Raw genomic sequence first — 18,958 nt, 5'->3', positions numbered from 1 at the left:
TACAGGCGTGAGCCACTGCGCCCGGACATTTTTTTTTTTTTTTTTGAGATGGAGTCTCGCTCTGTTGCCCAGGCTGGAGTGCAGTGGTGCGATCTCGGCTCACTGCAAGCTCCACCTCCTGGGTTTACACCATTCTCCTTCCTCAGCCTCCCGAGTAGCTGGGACTACAGGTGCCCACCACCATACCTGGCTAATTTTTTTGCATTTTTGGTAGAGATGGGGTTTCACCATGTGTTAGCCAAGATGGTCTCAATCTCCTGACCTCATCATCTGCTGATTTGTTGGAGTTCTGCAGACAAGTCCTTTGTTACATATATATTCAGCTCATATTTTTTCCCAACCTGTGGCTTGCATTTTCATTTTTTTAATGATGTATTTTAATGAGCAGAAATTATTTTAAATTTTGAAATCCAGTTTTCAATGAGTTAGTGCTTTTTGTGTCCTGTCCAAGAAATCCTTACCCCATGATTTCAAAAAGTACTCTCTGATGTATTTTTCTAGAAGCTTTATGGTTCTGGCTTCTACATTTAGGTCTTTGATCTGTCTTGAATTAATTTTTGCATATAACAGTGAGAGAGAGGGGTTAAGGTTGTTTGCCATATGGATATCCAATTGTTCCAACATCATTTCTTAAGAAGAATTTTTTTCCCCATTGAATTGATTTAATGCTTTGGCTGAAAATCAGTTTACCGCATTTGTGTGACTTGCAGGGTAAAGATAGTATTACAAGGCTGTAACTTTGTCTATAGAAATCTCTAATGGCTCTTTTTAAAAGCCCAGCACTGAGAAATAAAAAGCATATTTTGTAATTTAAAAAAGTATGGTCAGGCCAGGCGCAGTGGCTCACACCTGTAATCCCAGCACTTTGGGAGGCCGAGGCAGGCAGATCTCACAAGGTTAGGAGTTCAAGACCAGCCTGGCCGATGTGGTGAAACCCCATCTCTACAAAAAATATGAAAATTAGCTGGGCGTGGTGGCACGCGTCTGTAATCCCAGCTACTCAGGAGGCAGAAGAATTGCTTGAACCCCGGAGGCGGAGGTTGCAGTGAGCTGAGATTGCACTACTGCACTCCAGCCTGGGTGACAGAGCAAGACTCCGTCTCCAAAAAAAAAAAAAAAAAAAAAATCACAGGGAAAACCATAACAGGCACTTTTTTTTTTTTAAAGATAGAGTTTCACTCTGTTGCCCAGCCTGGAGTGCAGTGGCGTGATCTCGGCTCACTGCAACCTCCGCCTCCCAGGTTCAAGTGATTCTCGTGCCTCAGCCTCCTGAGTAGCTGGGACTACAGGCATCTGCCACCGTGCCCAGCTAATTTTTTGTATTTTTAGTAGAGACGGAGTATCACGATGTTGGCCAGGCTGGTCTCGCACTCCTGACCTCAAGTGATCCGCCCGCCTTGGCCTCCCAAAGTGCTGGGATTACAGGTGTGAGCCACCACACCCAGCCTATTACAGGTACATTTTTTAAAAGCTTGGATGGAACCACCCAGGCTCCATTCATCTATAAATTTCTGAAGAGCTAGCTCACTGCTGCTAATAGGATCGGGGAGACACAATCCCAGAACAAGTAATGACACTTGAAAAAACCTGTAGGTAGGCTGGGCACAGTGGCTCACGCCTGTGTTCTCAGCACTTTGCGGGGCTGAGATGGGTGGATAACTTGAGGCCAGGAGTTCAAGACCAGCGTGGCCAACTTGGCAAAACCCTGTCTCTACTGAAAATACAAAAATTAGCTGGGCATGGTGGCACATGCCTGTAATCTCAGCTACTTGGGAGGCTGAGGCAGGGGAATTGCTTGAACCTGGGAGGCGAAGGTTGCAGTGAGCTGAGATCATGCCACTGCACTCCAGCCTGTGCAACAAAGTGGGATTGTGTCTAAAAAAAGAAAAGAAAAAACTGGCAGGTGATCAAAAGTATTCTTGAAGATATACTGAGAGGTATTTAGGATGAATAATGGATACCATGGCAGGGAAAACAACTATTCAACTCCTATATTTCTCTTTCATCAGAGACCCAGCTGGAAGGACCATGTGCAGGGAAGGTAGCATACCCAGTGCCCAGTGGGTTTGTTTCCTCTGATCAATTTGAATTACATCCCACGGGTCTCAGAAAAGTAGCAGCTGACCATGATATACTCCATAAACTACTGTCAATAAGCCTTGAGGCATTGTGGAGCAGAGGCAGGTGCCAGATGATAAGCGATACACAATGTCTGTGATGTTTGAGCCTGATGCTGGTGATTCCTCAGAACTATGCAAGAACATCTCATCAAACAAATGATCCCTGAGCACCTAGAAAGAGAACTGGAGAACACTGCAAGGTGTGTGGATTTATAAAGGACATCATCATCTAACATTTATTAAGGCCTAACTCTGCGTCAGGTGCCTATACACATCTGGTTGTTGGCCTTGTGGATATTATGGTCAGTTCTGACTGTGTGTGCACTTGGCAACAATTTGGTTTTTTTAGTATGCTTGCTGGATTATTAGTAACCTTGAGGGGAGTGCCAAATATAAATATCATTTATTTAAATGTGAGCTGTGGGGGTTTTTTGTAGTTTCTCATCCCATTGGGCAAAAAGAGAAATTAGAGCTAGTATACTTCTGTGAAATTGTAATTACTGTACTTGAAATCACTAATCCAAAAAACGATGGCAGCCTCAGTTTCCTCATCTGTAAAATGAAGATAATAATAATGGCACCTGCCTCTGGAAGTTATAATTGTTAAATCAGATGATGCCTGTAAAGCACGGGGCACGTAATGTTTACTCAAAAAGAGATGTTGTTACGCTGATCTCATTTTCAGCTGACACAAAGCTGGTAGGGACAGTGAGTAAATATCCAAAATTATCTCAGCTGGTAAACAGTCACCCAAATTAAACTAAATGAAATTTATTAGAGTGAAAATTTAAAGTACTGAACTCGGGGTCAAAAAACTATAATTTGTACTCCCAAGTTCATAGCAGCATTATGGACATAGTAAAATGTAGAAGCAACCCGAGCATTCACTGACAGATAAATGGATAAGCAAAATGTGGTATCTACACACGACGGAATATTATTCAGCCTTTATAAAAGGAAGGAAAATCTGACACATGCTACAACATGGATGAACCTTGAGGACATTACGCTGAGTGAAATCAGCCAGACATAGAAGCACACATACTGTATGATTCCACTTATGTGAGGTACCTAGGGCAGTCAGATTCAGAGACAGAAAGTAGAATGGTGGTTGCCAGGGGCTGGGCACATGGGTAATGGGGAGTTATGTCGTCTCTTCCAGGAAGTCTTTCCTGCCTGTACACTGCCTCTAGCCCCTGTAGTTAATGGTGCTCTTCTCTGCAACAGAGGCAAGTTTCTGTTGCTCTGCCTGTCTACCATATGACAGATTTGCTCAAGTGCCTGTCTGATCTGTGGAGTTCTTTGAGGGTACAGGTAACATCTGATTCATCTTTTCAGTGTCAAAATCTGCAAGAAATTGTGTTTTATCCTCAAGTCACCTCCTGGTGGTAATTCCAGACAGAAAGGGGCAGGGGTGACAGTTCCTGCCAGTTGAGATTGCCTCCTTTAAAGAACATTTCCAGACATTCTGCCAAACTATACCTTCTATATTTATCTCATTTGACACACCTCTTTACAAGGAATGCTAGGAAATACAGGGTTTTTTTTTCCTTTTTGTTTTGTTTTGTTTTGTTTTGTTTGAGACAGAGTTTTGCTCTTGTTGCCCAGGCTAGAGTGCAAAGGCGCTATCTCGGCTCACCACAATCTCCACTTCCTGGGTTCAAGCGATTCTCCTGCCTCAGCCTCCCAAGTGGCTGGGATTACAGGCATGCGCCACCATGCCCAGCTAATTTTGTATTTTTAGTAGAGATGGGGTTTCACCATGTTGGTCAGGCTGGTCTGGAACTCCCAACCTCAGGTGATCCGCCCGCCTCAGCCTCCCAAAGTGCTAGGATTACAGGCATGAGCCACCGTGGCTGGCCAGGAAATACAGGTTTTAACTCTGCACTTTAAAACCCCAACGTTATAAAGACTTGTCAGGAAAGAAGAATTCTTAGGCACCTTCTGCTGAGGGTCTAACCACTATACAAGCTGCCTAATGAGTGAGTGACCTCTAAAGTTATCCATTGACTCCAAAATTCCCAGAATCTGATTTCTCACACACAGTGAGGTGGGTGATTCTTTTTTTACTGTAATCCTGGCTACTGGCCGGGCGCAGTGTCTTACTCCTGTAATCCCAGCACTTTGGGAGGCCGAGGCAGGCAGATCATGTGAGGTCAGGAGTTCAATACTAGCCTGGCCAACATGGTGAAACCCCATCTCTACTAAAAAATACAAAAATTAGCCAGGCACGGCACATGCCTATGATCCCAGCTACTCGGGAGGTTGAGGCAGGAGAATCACTTGAACCCAGGAGGCAGAGGTTGTAGTGAGCTCAGATTGTGCCACTGTGCTCCAGACTGGGCAACAGAGCGAGACTCCATCTCAAAAAAAAAAAAAAAAAAAAAAAAATCCTGGCTACCTTCATGACAATACTGCGTCAGTTGGAGTTCCTGGGCCTTATAACAGAGCGTAGGGCAGGGGTCAGCAAATCTTTTCTGTAAAGGGCCAAATTGTAAATTTTTTTTTTTTTAAGACAGAGTCACTCTGTTGCCCAGGCTGGAGTGCAGTGACATGATCTCTGTTCACTGCAACCTCTGCCTCCCAGGTTCAAGTGATTCTTCTGCCTCTGCCTCCTGAGTAGCTAGGATTACAGGCGCACACCCTGAAGCCTGGCTAATTTGTGTATTTTTAGCAGAGACAGTGTTTCACATGTTGGTCTCAAACTCCTAGCCTCAAGCAATCCGCCTGCCTCAGCCTCTCAAACTGCTGGGATTATAGGTGTGAGCTACTGTACCGGCCTCCAAATTTTAAGTATTTTAAGCTGTGTGGGCCGTATGGCTTCTGTTGTACCTATTCTGCTGTTGGTGGTACAAAAGCAACCATAAATAAAGGAGTAGGTAAACAAATGGGTATGACTGTGTTCTGTCATACCCATAGAACTATTTACAAAAACAATTACCAGATTGGATTTCTCCCACCCCTGTGATAGGCAGTGGGTCGTGGCCTCTAGTTTGGCAGAAGCTGGGGTTCTACAGACTAGATACACAGAAGGTAAGATGATGTTCAGGCAGTCTGGGAAAAAACAATTCACAAATCTCAGCCTCCACACCAAAGTCTCAACAGTCGGGCCTTTTGGGTTCCATGTTTCTCTTAAGGACACTGCAGTTTCTCAGTCACTTAGGCTTAAAACTTCAGGGTCTTTTTTTTTTTTTTTTTAAGTGGGGTCAGTCACATTGATTGAAGTATAATTTACAGAACAGTGAAGTTTATCCTTTTTCTGTATATTCTGTGCTATCAGTTTTGACAAATGCTGTCATGTAATTGCCACCCTAGACAAGATACAGAACAGTTTCATCACCCCACAAAAATTCCCCTGTGCCCCTTTGTTGTCTACACTTAGCCCCAGTTCCAACCCTTGACAACCACTGATCTACTCTTTGTCCCTATAGTTTTGCTTTTCCATTATGGCATTTAAATGGGATCACACAGTATGGTGCCTTTAAGTAGGGCATCTTTCAGTTAGCAGAATGCATTTGAGATTTGTTCATTGTGGCATATATCCGTAGTATGTTCTTTCTATTGCTGAATAGTATCCATTGGCGTTGATATACTACTGTTTATCTGTTTACCTATTGAAGGATATTTGTGTTGATTACAAGATGTGGCAATTATGAATAAAGCTGCTGTAGACATTCACATATAGGTTTTTGTGTGAATATAAGTTTTCATTTCTCTTGGTAAGTACTAAACCTAGAAGTAGGATTGCTAGGTTGTGTGATAGGTATCTATTTAGCTTTATAAGATGGCAAACTTTTCCAAAGTGGCTATATTATTTTACATTTTCGCCAATAATGAATAGTTGCTTCCTACCCTTGCCAGTATTTGATATCAGGTTTTCTGAATTTCAGACATTGTAATGTGTATTTAATAAGTTTTAATTTGTATTTCTTTTTTTTTTTTTTTTTGAGACAGAGTCTCACTCTGTCACCCAGGCTGGAGAGCAGTGGCACAATCTCGGCTCACTACAACCTCCGCCTCCTGGGTTCAAGCGATTCTCCTGCCTCAGCCTCCTGAGTAGCTGGGATTACAGGCGTGCACCACCATGCCTGGCTAATTTTTTTTTTTTTTTCTAGTAGGAACGGGGTTTCACCATGTTGGCCAGGCTGGTCTCAAACTCCTGATCTCGGGTGATCCGCCCGCCTCGGCCTCCCAAAGTGCTGGGATTACAGGCATGAGCCACTGAACCCAGCCTTAATTTGTTTTTTGTTTGTTTGTTTGTTTTGTTTTTTTGAGATGGAGTCTTGCTCTGTCACCCAGGCTGGAGTGCAGTGGCACAATCTCAGTTCACTGCAACCTCTACCTCACGACTTCAAGCAGTTCTCCTGCCTCACCCTTCCAAGCAGCTGGGATTACAGGCACCCGCCACCATGCCTGGCTAATTTTTGTATTTTTAGTAGAGGCAGGGTTTCACCATGTTGGCCAGGCTGGTCTCAAACTCCTGACCTCAGGTGAGCCACCGTGCCCGGCCTTAATTTGTATTTCTAATTAATGCTGTCTAATGACTACTGATACGGTAAGTTATAGTAATTGATTTTATTTTTTAAATTAAATTTAATTTTTTTTTTTTGAGACGGAGTCTCACTGTGTTGCCCAGGCTGGAGTGCAGTGGCACGATCTCAGCTCACTGCAACCTCTGCTTCCCGGGTTCAAGCAGTTCTCCTGCCTCAGCCTCCTAAGTAGCTGAGACTACAGGCACATACTGTCATGACCGGCTAATTTTTTTGTATTTTAGTAGAGATGGGGTTTTACCTTGTTGCCCAGGCTGGTCGCAAACTCCTGAGCTCAGGCAATCTGCCCACCTTGGCCTCCCAAAGTGCTGGGATTATAGGCGTGAGCCACCGCGCCTGGCCTAGTTTTTATTTTTTTGAGGCAGGGTCATGCTCTTGTTGCCCAGGCTGAAGTGTAGTGGTGCAAAAATGGCTCACTGCAACCTCCACCTCCCAGGCTCAAGTGTTCCTCCCTCCTGAGCCTCCTGAGTAGCCACAGGTGTGTGCCACTGCACCTGGCTTTTTTTGTTTGTTTTTTGTAGAGACAGGGTTTCACCATGTTCACCAGGCTGGTCTTGAACTCCTGGCCTCCCAAAATTCTGGGATTACAGGTGAGCCACTGCACCTGGCCTTTTTTTTTTTTCTTTTTCAGTTAAACATTTTGCTATCCAGGCTGGGCGCGGTGGCTTGCTCCTGTTACCCCAGCACTTTGGGAGGCTGAGGCTGGTGGATCGCTTGAGGCCAGGAGTTTGAGACCAGCCTGGCCAACATGGCAAAACCCCTTCTCTACAAAATGTACAAAAATTAGCCAGGCGTGGTGGTACACATCTGTGGTCCCAGCTGCTCGGGTGGCTGAGGCACGAGAATCACCTGAACCCAGGAGGCGGAGGTTGCAGTAAGCCGAGATTGCGCCACTGCATTCCAGTCTGGGTGACAGAGTGAGACTCTGTCTCAAACCAAACTAACAAACAAAAAAACACCACATTCTCCTATCCAATAGTAGTTGATTTTAGAATGTTGAGCCAGCCTTGCATTCCTGGGATTAAACCCCTGTTGGTCATGGTGTATTTTTTTTTTAATTTTTATTTATTTTTGTTTTGTTTTGTTTTTTAGAGATGAAGTCTTGCTCTGTTGCCCAGGCTGGAGTGCCAGTGGTGCGATCTCAGCTCACTGCAGCCTCTGCCTCTTTGGTTCCAGCGATTCTGCTGCCTCAGCCTCCTGGGTAGCTGGGACTACAGGTACCCACCATCACGTCTGGCTAATTTTTTGTATTTTTAGTAGAGACGGGGTTTCACCATGTCAGCCAGGATGGTCTCAATCTCCTAACCTCATGATCCGCCCGCCTTGGCCTCCCAAAGTGCTGGGATTACAGGTGTGAGCCACCACGCCCAGCCACATTGCTAGATTTAATTTGCTAATATTTTGTTGAGGATTTTTGTGCCTAAGTTTATGAGACGTATTGGTCTATAGTTCAGTTATTTATTTTATTTTATTTTTTTGGCTCTCCCACCCTGCTGATAATCCCAAATCCTAGTGATAACTGTCTGCTCCATTTCATTCCCTCCATTAGACCCTCCTTATGTCTTACTTGATATCCTAACTGGTTCTCTGTGTCTAATGTCTCCTAAACTCTATCCTACCTACGTCTTTCTGCCAAATTAAAGAAAAAAAATGCAGGCCGGGCACAGTGGCTCACGCCTGTAATCCCAACACTTCGGGAGGCCGAGGTGGGCAGATCACCAGAGGTCAGGAGTTCGAGACCAGCCTGGCCAATATGGGGAAACCCCGTGTCTACTAAAAATGCAAAAATTAGCTGGGCATGGTGGCGCACACCTGTAATCCCAGCTGCTCGGGAAGCTGAGGCAGGAGACTTGCTTGAACCTGGAAGCAGAGGTTGCAATGAGCCAAGATCACGCCACTGCACTCCAGCCTGGGTGACAGAGCAAGACTCCATCTCAAAGAAAAAGAAAAAGAAAAAAAATCCAATGGTTCTTATTGCTTACCTGCATTAGTCAAGGTCTAGACAGGAAACAGTCAGTGTACTCAAAGGGTTAATTAAAAACTCTTTAATGAAGGGATTATTCACAATAGTGTGAGTAGTAAAGGAAACATACAAGGGATAGTGGAGCACCCAGGGACTGGCAAGGTAGTGTCCCCACCCTAGGTGCAATGACGGAGTGGGGATGTGTCACTGGAACCCAGCAAAAGCAATGGCCATGGGAGAGAGGGGTCCTCTAAAGGAGCTGTGACCTTGGTTAAGGAACACAGCTCTGCCAGAACCATATCCTGGGAGGGAGAGAAGGCAAAAAATAAACACCTTGGCCTTTCCTCCTGCTCGCTGATCTCTTCCTGGTTCTTTCCCTTGGCTGGACTCAGATGGAAGCCAGAGGACCTGGAGCCCAGGGCTTTAGAGACTGACCTTCTGACTCCAGAGACAAAAAGCAGGGCAGAGAGGATCAGGTAGGGAAGGAGGAGCAGACCAAGAATACTGAGCACACCCACCTGTCAAAGTCCAAACTCTTGAGATTAACACTTTACGCCACCAGTTCTGGCTCCTACTCACCTTGCTGACTTGTCACCCCTGAAATTAGGACTTTTCATCTTTTTATGTCCCACAGCTCCCTCGTTAGCTCCTCAGAAAAGGTGAGACATTGACCAGATTAGTATTGGTTTTGAACAGTGGATCAGAGGCAAACAGTCACCCCCAGAGCAGACAGTGGAAGGAACTTGCCTGGCTCACACTCATGAGGAAGGATGGAAGAAGAGTTGCTCCACACATGCACATGTTACAAAATGACTCTTTTTCTTTCTTGTTTTTATAGAGGCTCAGAGAAGTGAAGTAACCTGCTCAAGGTTTCATGCTGGTTGTAGCAGGTCATGCACACAGCCAGGCGTGGAACCCTGGGAGAGTTACCTCACCTCTTTGAGCATGTTTTCTTATCTGTACAACAGGGTTGCATGGAACAAGGGACAGACTAAACACTGGCTGCCCTATTATACTCACTTCATATTAGCTCAGAATTATGACCCTCATATTTCTACTCAACTTTTGAAGAAGAGACATCTAAGTCAGTCACAGATAGTTAACAGATATCTTTTTTTCAGAAAAAGATTCCCTATGTACTGACTCATATCTAATTGGCCAGGCCCAATTATAAGTATTCTACAAATATTAACTCAATCCTTAAATCCCCTGTGAGGTAGATAAAATTTCCCCATTTTACAGATGAGGAAATGGAGATACAGAGTGACTAAAGGACTTACCTGAGGTCACCCAGCTGGAAAGTGACAGAGCCAGGATTTGAACCCAGGCAAGGCCTTGTCAAATTGTATATAGCCTGTCCTGCCAAGGCACACTTCATTCCTGACCAGCATGTGGTGATGGGAAATGTATGTGGTCTTGGCAGGACTGGGTTTGTGGAGATCTTTGGAGGCATCTGAAGGATATGTGCAAGGATGTTAAAGACAAAGAGTGGGGAAATTTTAGGGGTGAGAAAGGGTAGCCACTGAAATTAACAAGGAAAACCAGCTCTGCCTGCTTGGGCAGGAAATACCTAGTCAGCAAGCCTGCCTGCCTTCATGCCATCTGGCTTCCTCGGGGGCCAGCCAATACCCCTTTATGGGAGTTGATGAAGCTTCCCTTTGAGTCAGTGGCAGTAAAACAGGTTATTAAAAATTTTTCGGCCGGGCGCAGTGGCTCACGCCTATAATCCCGGCACTTTGGGAGGCTGAGGCAGGCGGATCACGAGGTCAGGAGATCCAGACCATCCTGGCTAACATGGTGAAACCCCGTCTCTACTGAAAATACAAAAAATTAGCCGGGTGTGGTGGTGGGTGCCTGTAGTCCCAGCTACTCGGGAGGCTGAGGCAGGAGAATGGCGTGAATCCAGGAGGCAGAGCTTGCAGTGAGCCAAGAGCGCGCCACTGCACTCCAGCCTGGGTGACGGAGCGAGACTGTCTCAAAAAAGAAAAAAAATTCTAGTCCATTCTGTTGTTTTAAGCTACCGATACTTATATATATTTTTCACTTCATATTGGCTCAAAATTATCATCCTCATATTCCTACACAGCTTTTGAAGAGGAGACATCTAAGTTGGTCATAGATACGTAATAGATCATTTAAAAAAAAAAAAAAGATTCCCGGCCGGGCGCGGTGGCTCACGCCTGTAATCCTAACACTTTGGGAGGCTGAGGCGGGCAGATCACGAGGTCAAGAGATCGGGACCATCCTGTCCAACATGGTGAAACCCCGTCTCTACTAAAAATACAAAAAATTAGCCAGGCATGGTGGCGGGCTCCTGTAATCGCAGCTACTTGGAAGGCTGAGGCAGGAGAATCGCTTGAACCTGGGAGGTGGAGGTTGCAGTGAGCCGAGATCGTGCCATTGCACCACTCCAGCCTGGGCAAAAAGAGCGAAACTCGATCTCAAAAAAAAAAAAAGGGTTCCCTATGTAGTGGATACATACATTCCCTATATATACCCAAATACAACTAGGGTGAGAAGGAACACGGTGTGAGAGTGGAGGAGGTGTGCCCTGGGCATGAATTTAGAGAAGACATGGACTGTGTCTCACTCCCTTAGCCCTGTAACAATTAGTAATTAATGACCAACAAAATTTGGCTGGGCACAGTGGCTTATGCCTGTAATCTTAGCACTTTGGGAGGCCGAGGCAGGAGGATCACCTGAGGTCAGGAGTTCGAGACCAGCCTGGCCAATATAGTGAAACCCTGTCTCTACTAAAAATACAAAAATTAGCCAGGTATGGTGGCGCATGCCTGTAATCCCAGCTACTCGGGAGGCTGAGACAGGAGAACCGCTTGAACCCAGGAGGCTGAGGTTGCAGTGGGCCAAGATCATGCCACAGCACTCCAGCCTGGGTGACAGAAATGAGACTCCGTCTCAAAAAAAAAAAAAAAAAACTTAAGTAGAATCTCACTACTTACCTAATGCTGCATGCTTGACACTGTCAAGCTCCTATAACAGCCATAACCTGTAAATAACCAAGACACCTGTAAAAGCAGACAGTGACCAAATAGCCGAAGGGAGTCCAGGACATGAAAATTGTAGAAGATAACTGTGTGCTTGACCTGTTTTCTAAGAAAACTAGTAGAGAAGCCTGTAGGGGCAGAATTAGCAAAGAGAAAAGAGAGAGATGGTGGCTGGGCTCAGTGGCTCATGCCTGTAATCCCAGCACTTTGGGAGGTCAAGGCGGGTGGATCACCTGAGGTCAGGAGTTCGAGACCAGCCTGGCCAACATGGTAAAACCTTGTCTCTACTAAAAATACAAAGATTAGCTGGGTATGGTGGCGTGTGCCTGTAACCCCAGCTACTGAGGTAGTAGCTGAGGCAAGGAGAATCGCTTGAACCGGAGCGGCAAAGGTTGCAGTGAGCCGAGATTGCACCATTACGCTCCAGCCTAGGCGACAGAGTGAGACTCCGTCTCAAAAAAAAAAAAAAAAAAAAAAAGAGAGAGATGGAGAAAGTAGAAAAGGAAAGCAAGGTGACTGAGTGGCCACAGACAGTTTACCATCAGAAAGAATGAAAGCTGGTTAAAATAAAACAACCCCAGTGAGAGTACAGGAGGCAAGCCAAGCTTCACAGTCACAGAGAGTGGAGACAAGAGGCACGAAATTGGCAGGGATCTGGAGTTAGAGGCAGCCCAAGTCATGTGTAATTTAGTGGTTCACAAAGGAACAGGTGTACTTCAGATAGAATCGAGCAGTACAGGATGTTATACTGGGCTATGCTGACAAACCATCCCCTACTATAGACATTTTCTTAGTCCAGTACACTTGTGTCTACAGTAGGAGCAAAAGAGATGCTGGGCTTGAAAATGAAGTTGAGAAAACAATTTCTCCAGCCGTGGTGTCTCATGCCTATAATCCCAGTGCTTTGGGTGGCCGAGGTGGGAGGATCACTTGAAGCCAGGAATTTAAGACCAGCCTGGGCAACATAGTAAGATGCTGCCTCTATATTAAAATAAAATTAAAAAAAACTTTTTTATTAAAAAGCCAGGCTCAGTGGGTCACGCTTATAATCCCACCACCTTGGGAGGCTGAGCTGAGAGAATCGCTTGAGGCCAGGAGTTTGAGGCCAGAGTTTGAGACCAGCCTAGGTAACACAGTGAGACCCCATCTCTACAAAAAATAAAAAATTAGGCCAGGCTCAGTGGCTCATGCCTGTAATCCCAGCACTTCTGGAGGCCCAGGCGAGCGGATCACCTGAGGTCAGGAGTTTGAGACCAGCCTGGCGAACATGGTGAAACCCTGTCTCTACTAAAAATACAAAAAAATTAGCCAGGTGTGATGGCGTGTGCCTGTAATCCCAGCCAGTCAGGAGGCTGAGGCAGGAGAATCGCCTCAGCCTCAGAGCTCGGGAGGTGGAAGTTGCAGTGAGCCAAGATTGCACCACTGCATTCCAGCCTGGGTGATAGAGCAAGACTCTGTCTTAAAAAAAAAAAAGTATGTCCTAAATGCCACTGGATTATGGGGGTTGGTTTTTTTGTTTGTTTGTTTGTTTTTTGTTTTTGAGACAGAGTCTTTCTGTTGCTCTGTCACCCAGGCTGGAGTGCAATGGCATGATCATAACCCACTATAGCCTGAAACTCCTGGGCACAAGTAATCCTCCCACCTCAGCCTCCCAAAGTGCTGGGATTACAGGCATGAGGCATTGCACCCAGCGGCCACTGAATTGTTCACTTTAAAATGGTTAATTTTGGCTGGGTACAGAGTTTCAGTATGGAATGATGATGAAGTCCTGGAGGTGGATGTTGGTGATGGTTGCACAATACGAATGTATTAGTGCACTGAACTGTACACCTAAAAATGGTTTAAAATGGTACATTCTGTAATGTACATTTTTCCACTTCCCAAAAAAGATTCTAGCCAGGGACCATGGCTCATGCCTGTAATCCCAGCAATTTGGGAGGCCAAGGCAGGAGGATTGCTTGAGCCCAGGAGTTTGAGACCAGCTTGGGCAACATGATGGAACCCTGTCTCTACAAAAAACACAAAAAATTAGCCAGGTATGATTAGCAGGGCGTGATGACACGCACCTATAGTCCCAGCCACTTACTTGAACCCAGGAGGCGGAGGTTGCAGTGAGTCGAGATGGCACCACTGGACTCCAGCCTGGGTGACAGAGTGAGACTGTGTCAAAAAAAAAAAAACCCAAAAAGCCAGGTGTGGTGGCTAATTTGAAATAAGGTTCTTTGTCTGAATTATAAGTGGTCCTGGCTAAATATGCAGATGCAGTGCTACTCCCTGGATTTGGCTAGATCAGGGAGCTTGTGATGGTGTCCCATTAGTAGGACCAGAGGTACATATATCTGTCACTTTGTGTTTGAAATGCAAGCTTTTTATTTAAAAAGTGAGAAAGGATTCCTTTTAGAACCACATTTTCCTTTTTTTTTTGTTTTTGTTTTTGAGACAGAGTCTCAATCTGTCGCCCAGGCTGGAGTGCAGTGGCGCAATCTCGGCTCACTGCAAGCTCTGCCTCCTGGGTTCACGCCATTCTCCCGCCTCAGCCTCCCGAGTAGCTGGGACTGCAGGTGCCCACCATCACGCCTGGATAATTTTGTTTTTGTATTTTTAGTAGAGACGGGGTTTTACCATGTTAGCCAGGATGGTCTCAATCTCCTGACCTCGTGATTCGCCCTCCTCAGCCTCCCAAAGAGCTGAGATTACAGGCATGAGCCACCGTGCCCGGCCTTTTTTTTTTTTTTTAAATTATTCCCCTTTATCCCCTTTCTCTACTCTGGTTTCCCTATCCCCTGTAAATGTATTTAGTATGTATCCTTTCATTTGTATAATTTCCTATGAAGCATTTTTGTTTCTGTGCATGTGTGTGGGTTTTTGTTTTGTTTTGTTTTGTTTGAGACAGAGTCTTGCTCTGTCACCCAAGCTGGAGTGCAGTGGCATTATCTCAGCTCACTGCAACCTCTGCTTCCTGGGTTCAAACGATTCTCCTGCCTCAGCCTCCTGAGTAGCTGGGACTACAGGCGTGCACAATCACATCCAGCTAATTTTTTTATTTTTTAGTATAGATGGGGTTTTGCCATGTTGATCAGGCTGGTCGTGAACTGATCTCAGGTGATCCGCCCACCTCTGCCTCCCAAAATGCTGGAATTACAGGCGTGAGCCACCGCACTCAGCCTGTGTGTGTATTTTTAGTTTATATAAATAATGTATTAGAGCTCGCTATGTTTTCTTTTTTTTTTTTTTTTTACCAAGTTCATTCATGTGACTGTATTCATCTAGTATTGTTTCTAACTTGCAGAGAACCCCAGTGGGTATATCCCCCACACTTTACCTGCCCACTTCTGATCCCCAGATTGTCTCCAACTCTGCACCTCAGACATGATGTGGTAAATATCTTTGTATCCCTTATCAGTGCATCCCTATGAGAATTTCTTTGGGAACACACATACACACACACACGAGTAGAATTTGTGAGTCACAAAATGCATAGTTTTAATTATATATAAGGCCAGATTACTTGTTATTCAGAACAGCTGTACGATTCTGTATCACTATCAGTAGCACGTGAGGATAGAACCTCCAGTATGTTTTCAGAGGGTAACTTTGGTGTTTCATGGACGAATGTGGCCATGAGAAGCTGGTGACACCAGTGAGTAGGCGCATCCAGAAAACACTTTACTGAGCACAGTGAGTTCATTAATTTATTCATTCACTAATCAGTGGAGGGCCTGCTGTGTTTGTGGGCCTGAGGACACAAAAGAGGAGTAAGTTTAGTTCCTATTGCAAGTATATAGAAGGTGCAGAGGGAGGAGCTCCTGGGGGGGTACAGTCAGAAAAGATTTACAGAGGAGGGAAGATGTAGGGTAGAGAGGAGTTCCAGGAGTTGGTCATCTCAAAGAAAGCAGAAGCTGTGCTATGCAGAGGGACCTGCCGCAGAGTCTTAATTTTTTTTTTTTTGGGGGGGGGTCTAGGCACAGTGTGACTTGCTTCTGTAATCCTAGCGCTTTGGGAGGCCAGGATGGGCAGATCAGTTGAGGCCAGGAGTTCGAGACCAGCCTGGGTGACATAGTGAAACCCTGTCTCTACAAAAAATGCAAAAATTAGCCAGGCACAGTGGTGTGCACCTGTAATCCCAGCTACTCAGGAGGCTGAGGTGGGAGGATCCCTTGAGCCTGTGAGGTTGAGGCTGCAGTGAGCCATGATCAAGCCATTGCACTCCAGCCTGGGCAACAGAGCAAGAATCTGTCTCAAAATAAAAATTATGATAGTGACCAAGATCAGGAGTAGTTAGCTTTTTAAAGGTAATTGGTAGGCCAGGCACAGTGGCTCACACCTGTGATCCCAGCACTTTGGGAGGCTAAGGCAGACGGATCACCTGAGGTCAGGAGTTTAAGACCAGCCTGGCCAACATGGTGAAACCCCATCTCTACTAAAAAATATAAAAATTAGCTGGGCATGATGACACATGCCTGTAGTCCCAGTTACTCGGGAGGCTAAGGCATGAGAATCGGTTGAACCCAAGAGGCGGAGGTTGCAGTGAGCTGAGATTGTGCCACTGCACTCCAGCCTGGATGACAGAGTGAGACTCCATTTCAAAAAAGAATCAATAAATAATTGGTAAACAAAGGGACCGTATGGTGTTTATAAAATTATTGGTAAAATGATGTTACCAAAGGTAATACATAGAAGTTAAAATAGTTGTGTTAGAGATTTTTCCCTCTTAATGACAGATTTGTCCTTTTAATCATAATACAGAGGGTGAGAAGGTTCAGGAAAGTGTACATATAACAAACAGGACATTTTGTTATGACTCCAAATGTAGATAATTTTTCACATGCGTTAAACATAGTTCAGAGGTTCTCAGCTGGTGGCTGCACACTAGGATCACCTGGGGGGCTTTAAAAGTGAACGATAAAAGTGAATGATGAAGCCAGGCATGGTGGCTCATGCCTGTAATCCCAGCACTTTGGGCAGCCGAGGCAGGCAGATCACTTGAAGTCGGGAGTTCAAGACCAGTGCCACTCCACTCCAGCCTGGGTGACAGAACAAGACTCTGTCTCAAAAAAAAAAAAAAAATAGTGAATAATGGTCACCTCACATCCATCAGAACGGCTAACCAACAAAAAACACCAGAAAATAACAAGGGTTGGTGAGGACGTGGAGAAATCAGAAGTCTTGCACGCTGTTGGAGGAAATGTAAAATGGTACAGCCACTGTGGAAAACAGTATGGTGGTTCCTCAGAAAATTAAAAATCTAATTACCATGACCCGGCAATTCCACTTCTGGGTATATGCCCCAAACAAATGAAAGCAGAGTCTAGAAGAGATATTTGTACACCATGTTCATATCAGTATTATTCACAGTAGCTAAAACATGGAAGCAACCCAGGTGTCCATTGATAGAGGAATGGATCAGCCATACAATGGCATATTACTCAACCTTGAAAAGGAAGGAAGTCCTGACATATGCTACAAGGTTTGTAAGGGTGAACCTTGAAGACATTATGCTAGCCAAAATAAGCTAGTCACAAAAGCACAAATAACGCATGATTTCACTTAGATGAGGTATCTAAAGTAGTCAAATTCATAGAGACAAAGTAGAATGATGGTTGCCAGGGGCTGGGGCGGGGGTAGTGGGAATGGGAAGTTATTATTTAATGGGAATAATGGGTATTATTTAATGAGTTTTTAGTTTTGCAAGGTGAAAAGAGTTCCAGAAGTAACCATCCACCAGGGTGGTGGTGATGGTTACACAACAATGTAAATGTATTTATTTATTTATTTACCTATTTATTTTATTTTATTTGAGACAGTCTTGCTCTGTCGCCCAGGCTGGAGTGCAGTGGCTTGATCTCAGCTCACTGCAACCTCCGCCTCCCGGGTTCCAGCAATTCTCCTGTCTCCACCTCCCGAGTAGCTGGAATTACAGGCACATGCCACCACGCCCGGCTAATTTTTGTATTTTTAGTAGAGATGGGGTTTCACGATGTTGGTCAGGCTGGTCTCAAACTCCTCACCTCAGGTGATCCACCCACCTTGGCTTCCCAAAGTGCTGGGATTACAGGCATGAGCCACCACGCCCAGCTGTAAATGTATTTAATACCACTGATGTATATACTTAAAAATAGTTAAGATGGTCTGGGCGTGGTGGCTCACGCCTGTAATCCCAGCACTTTGGGAGGCCAAGGTGGGTAGGTCGCTTGAGCTCAGGAGTTCGAGACCAGCCTGGTCAACATGGCGAAACCTCATCACTACCAAAAATACAAAAATTAGCCAGGGGTGATGACACACACCTGTAATCCCAGCTATCATGTGGCTGAGGCAGGAGAATCGCTCGAAACCAGGAGGGGGAGGTTGCAGTAAGCTGAGATTGCGCCACTGCACTCCAGCCTGGGCAACAGAGTGAGACTGTCTTTAAAAAAAAAAACAAAAAGTAGGTCAGGCTCGGTGGCTCACGCCTGTAATCCCAGCACTTCGGGAGGCTGAGGCAGGCAGATCACAAGGTCAGGAGATCGAGACCATCCTGGCTAACACGGTGAAACCCCGTCTCTACTAAAAATACAAAAAAAAAATTAGCTGGGCATGGTGGGGGGGCGTCTGTAGTCCCAGCTACTTGGGAGGCTGAGGCGGGAGAATGGCGTGAACCCGGGAGGCGGAGCTTGCAGTGAGCCAAGACCATGCCACTGCACTCCAGCCTGGGCGACAGAGCGAGACTCCGTCTCAAAAAAAAAAAAAAAAAAGTAAATTTTATGTATATTGTACTACAATTTTTAAAATAACATTAAAGTTTAAAAAGAGAAAAAGAAAATGACGGTGATGTGGCCCACATCACTCTTGTCTGTTTCAGTGGGTCTAGGGTTACCAGTGATGCTAATATGGAGTGGGGAACTGCTGGTTTAGCTGGGGGAAATGTTGGATGGGGAACCCTGATATTCTGAGCACACCTACATCTCATCTTGGTTTTCCCACGACATTGATCCCAAGCAAAGGACTTTTGTTTGGTTTTGTTCTTTATTGTATAACCCTTGTGATCAGAAGAAAAACTCTACAATGAATAAGACAGAATCATGTCTCAGAAAATTTGGCAAAGTTCAAAAATTGAAAAGAAACAATAAAAATCATTCATAATCCCATCAACCTCAGCAATCAATAAATTCAGGAGTATTCTAGTCCTTCTACAGCATTGAATAGAGATATTTTATAGATATATTACAGATATCCTTATATATATACTCATACCTATTATACTTCTTTTGTGTGCTTTTTTTAAAAAAAACCCCATACTTCTGATAGTGTGTGTTTTTCCCTTTCAGTGACAATGTGGTGAAT

The 18,958-nt window shown here is 45.0% G+C and overlaps 1 protein-coding gene across 5 annotated transcripts in view; it reads left to right on the top strand.

The window, feature by feature from the left end:
• Window positions 1-18,958, top strand: part of GFOD2 (Gfo/Idh/MocA-like oxidoreductase domain containing 2) — a 44,781-nt gene that overhangs the window by 12,213 nt on the left and 13,610 nt on the right. The window contains exon 1 of one of the 5 annotated variants that reach the window (XM_047434723.1): window positions 1,862-2,320. The exons of 3 other annotated variants lie outside the window; for them this stretch is intronic. The gene's annotated coding sequence lies outside the window, so the exon portion shown is untranslated. Of the gene's footprint in view, window positions 1-1,861; window positions 2,321-14,568; window positions 15,016-18,958 lie in introns of those variants that run through there. One more of the 5 variants, XM_047434724.1, reaches the window with a different exon arrangement.

This window comes from Homo sapiens, chromosome 16 (assembly GCF_000001405.40).
Source record: "Homo sapiens chromosome 16, GRCh38.p14 Primary Assembly".
In the NCBI taxonomy this organism is placed as follows: Eukaryota; Metazoa; Chordata; class Mammalia; order Primates; family Hominidae; genus Homo; species Homo sapiens.
The sequence above is the reverse complement of the archived record's forward strand: the minus strand, read 5'-3'. Positions and strand labels throughout refer to the sequence as shown.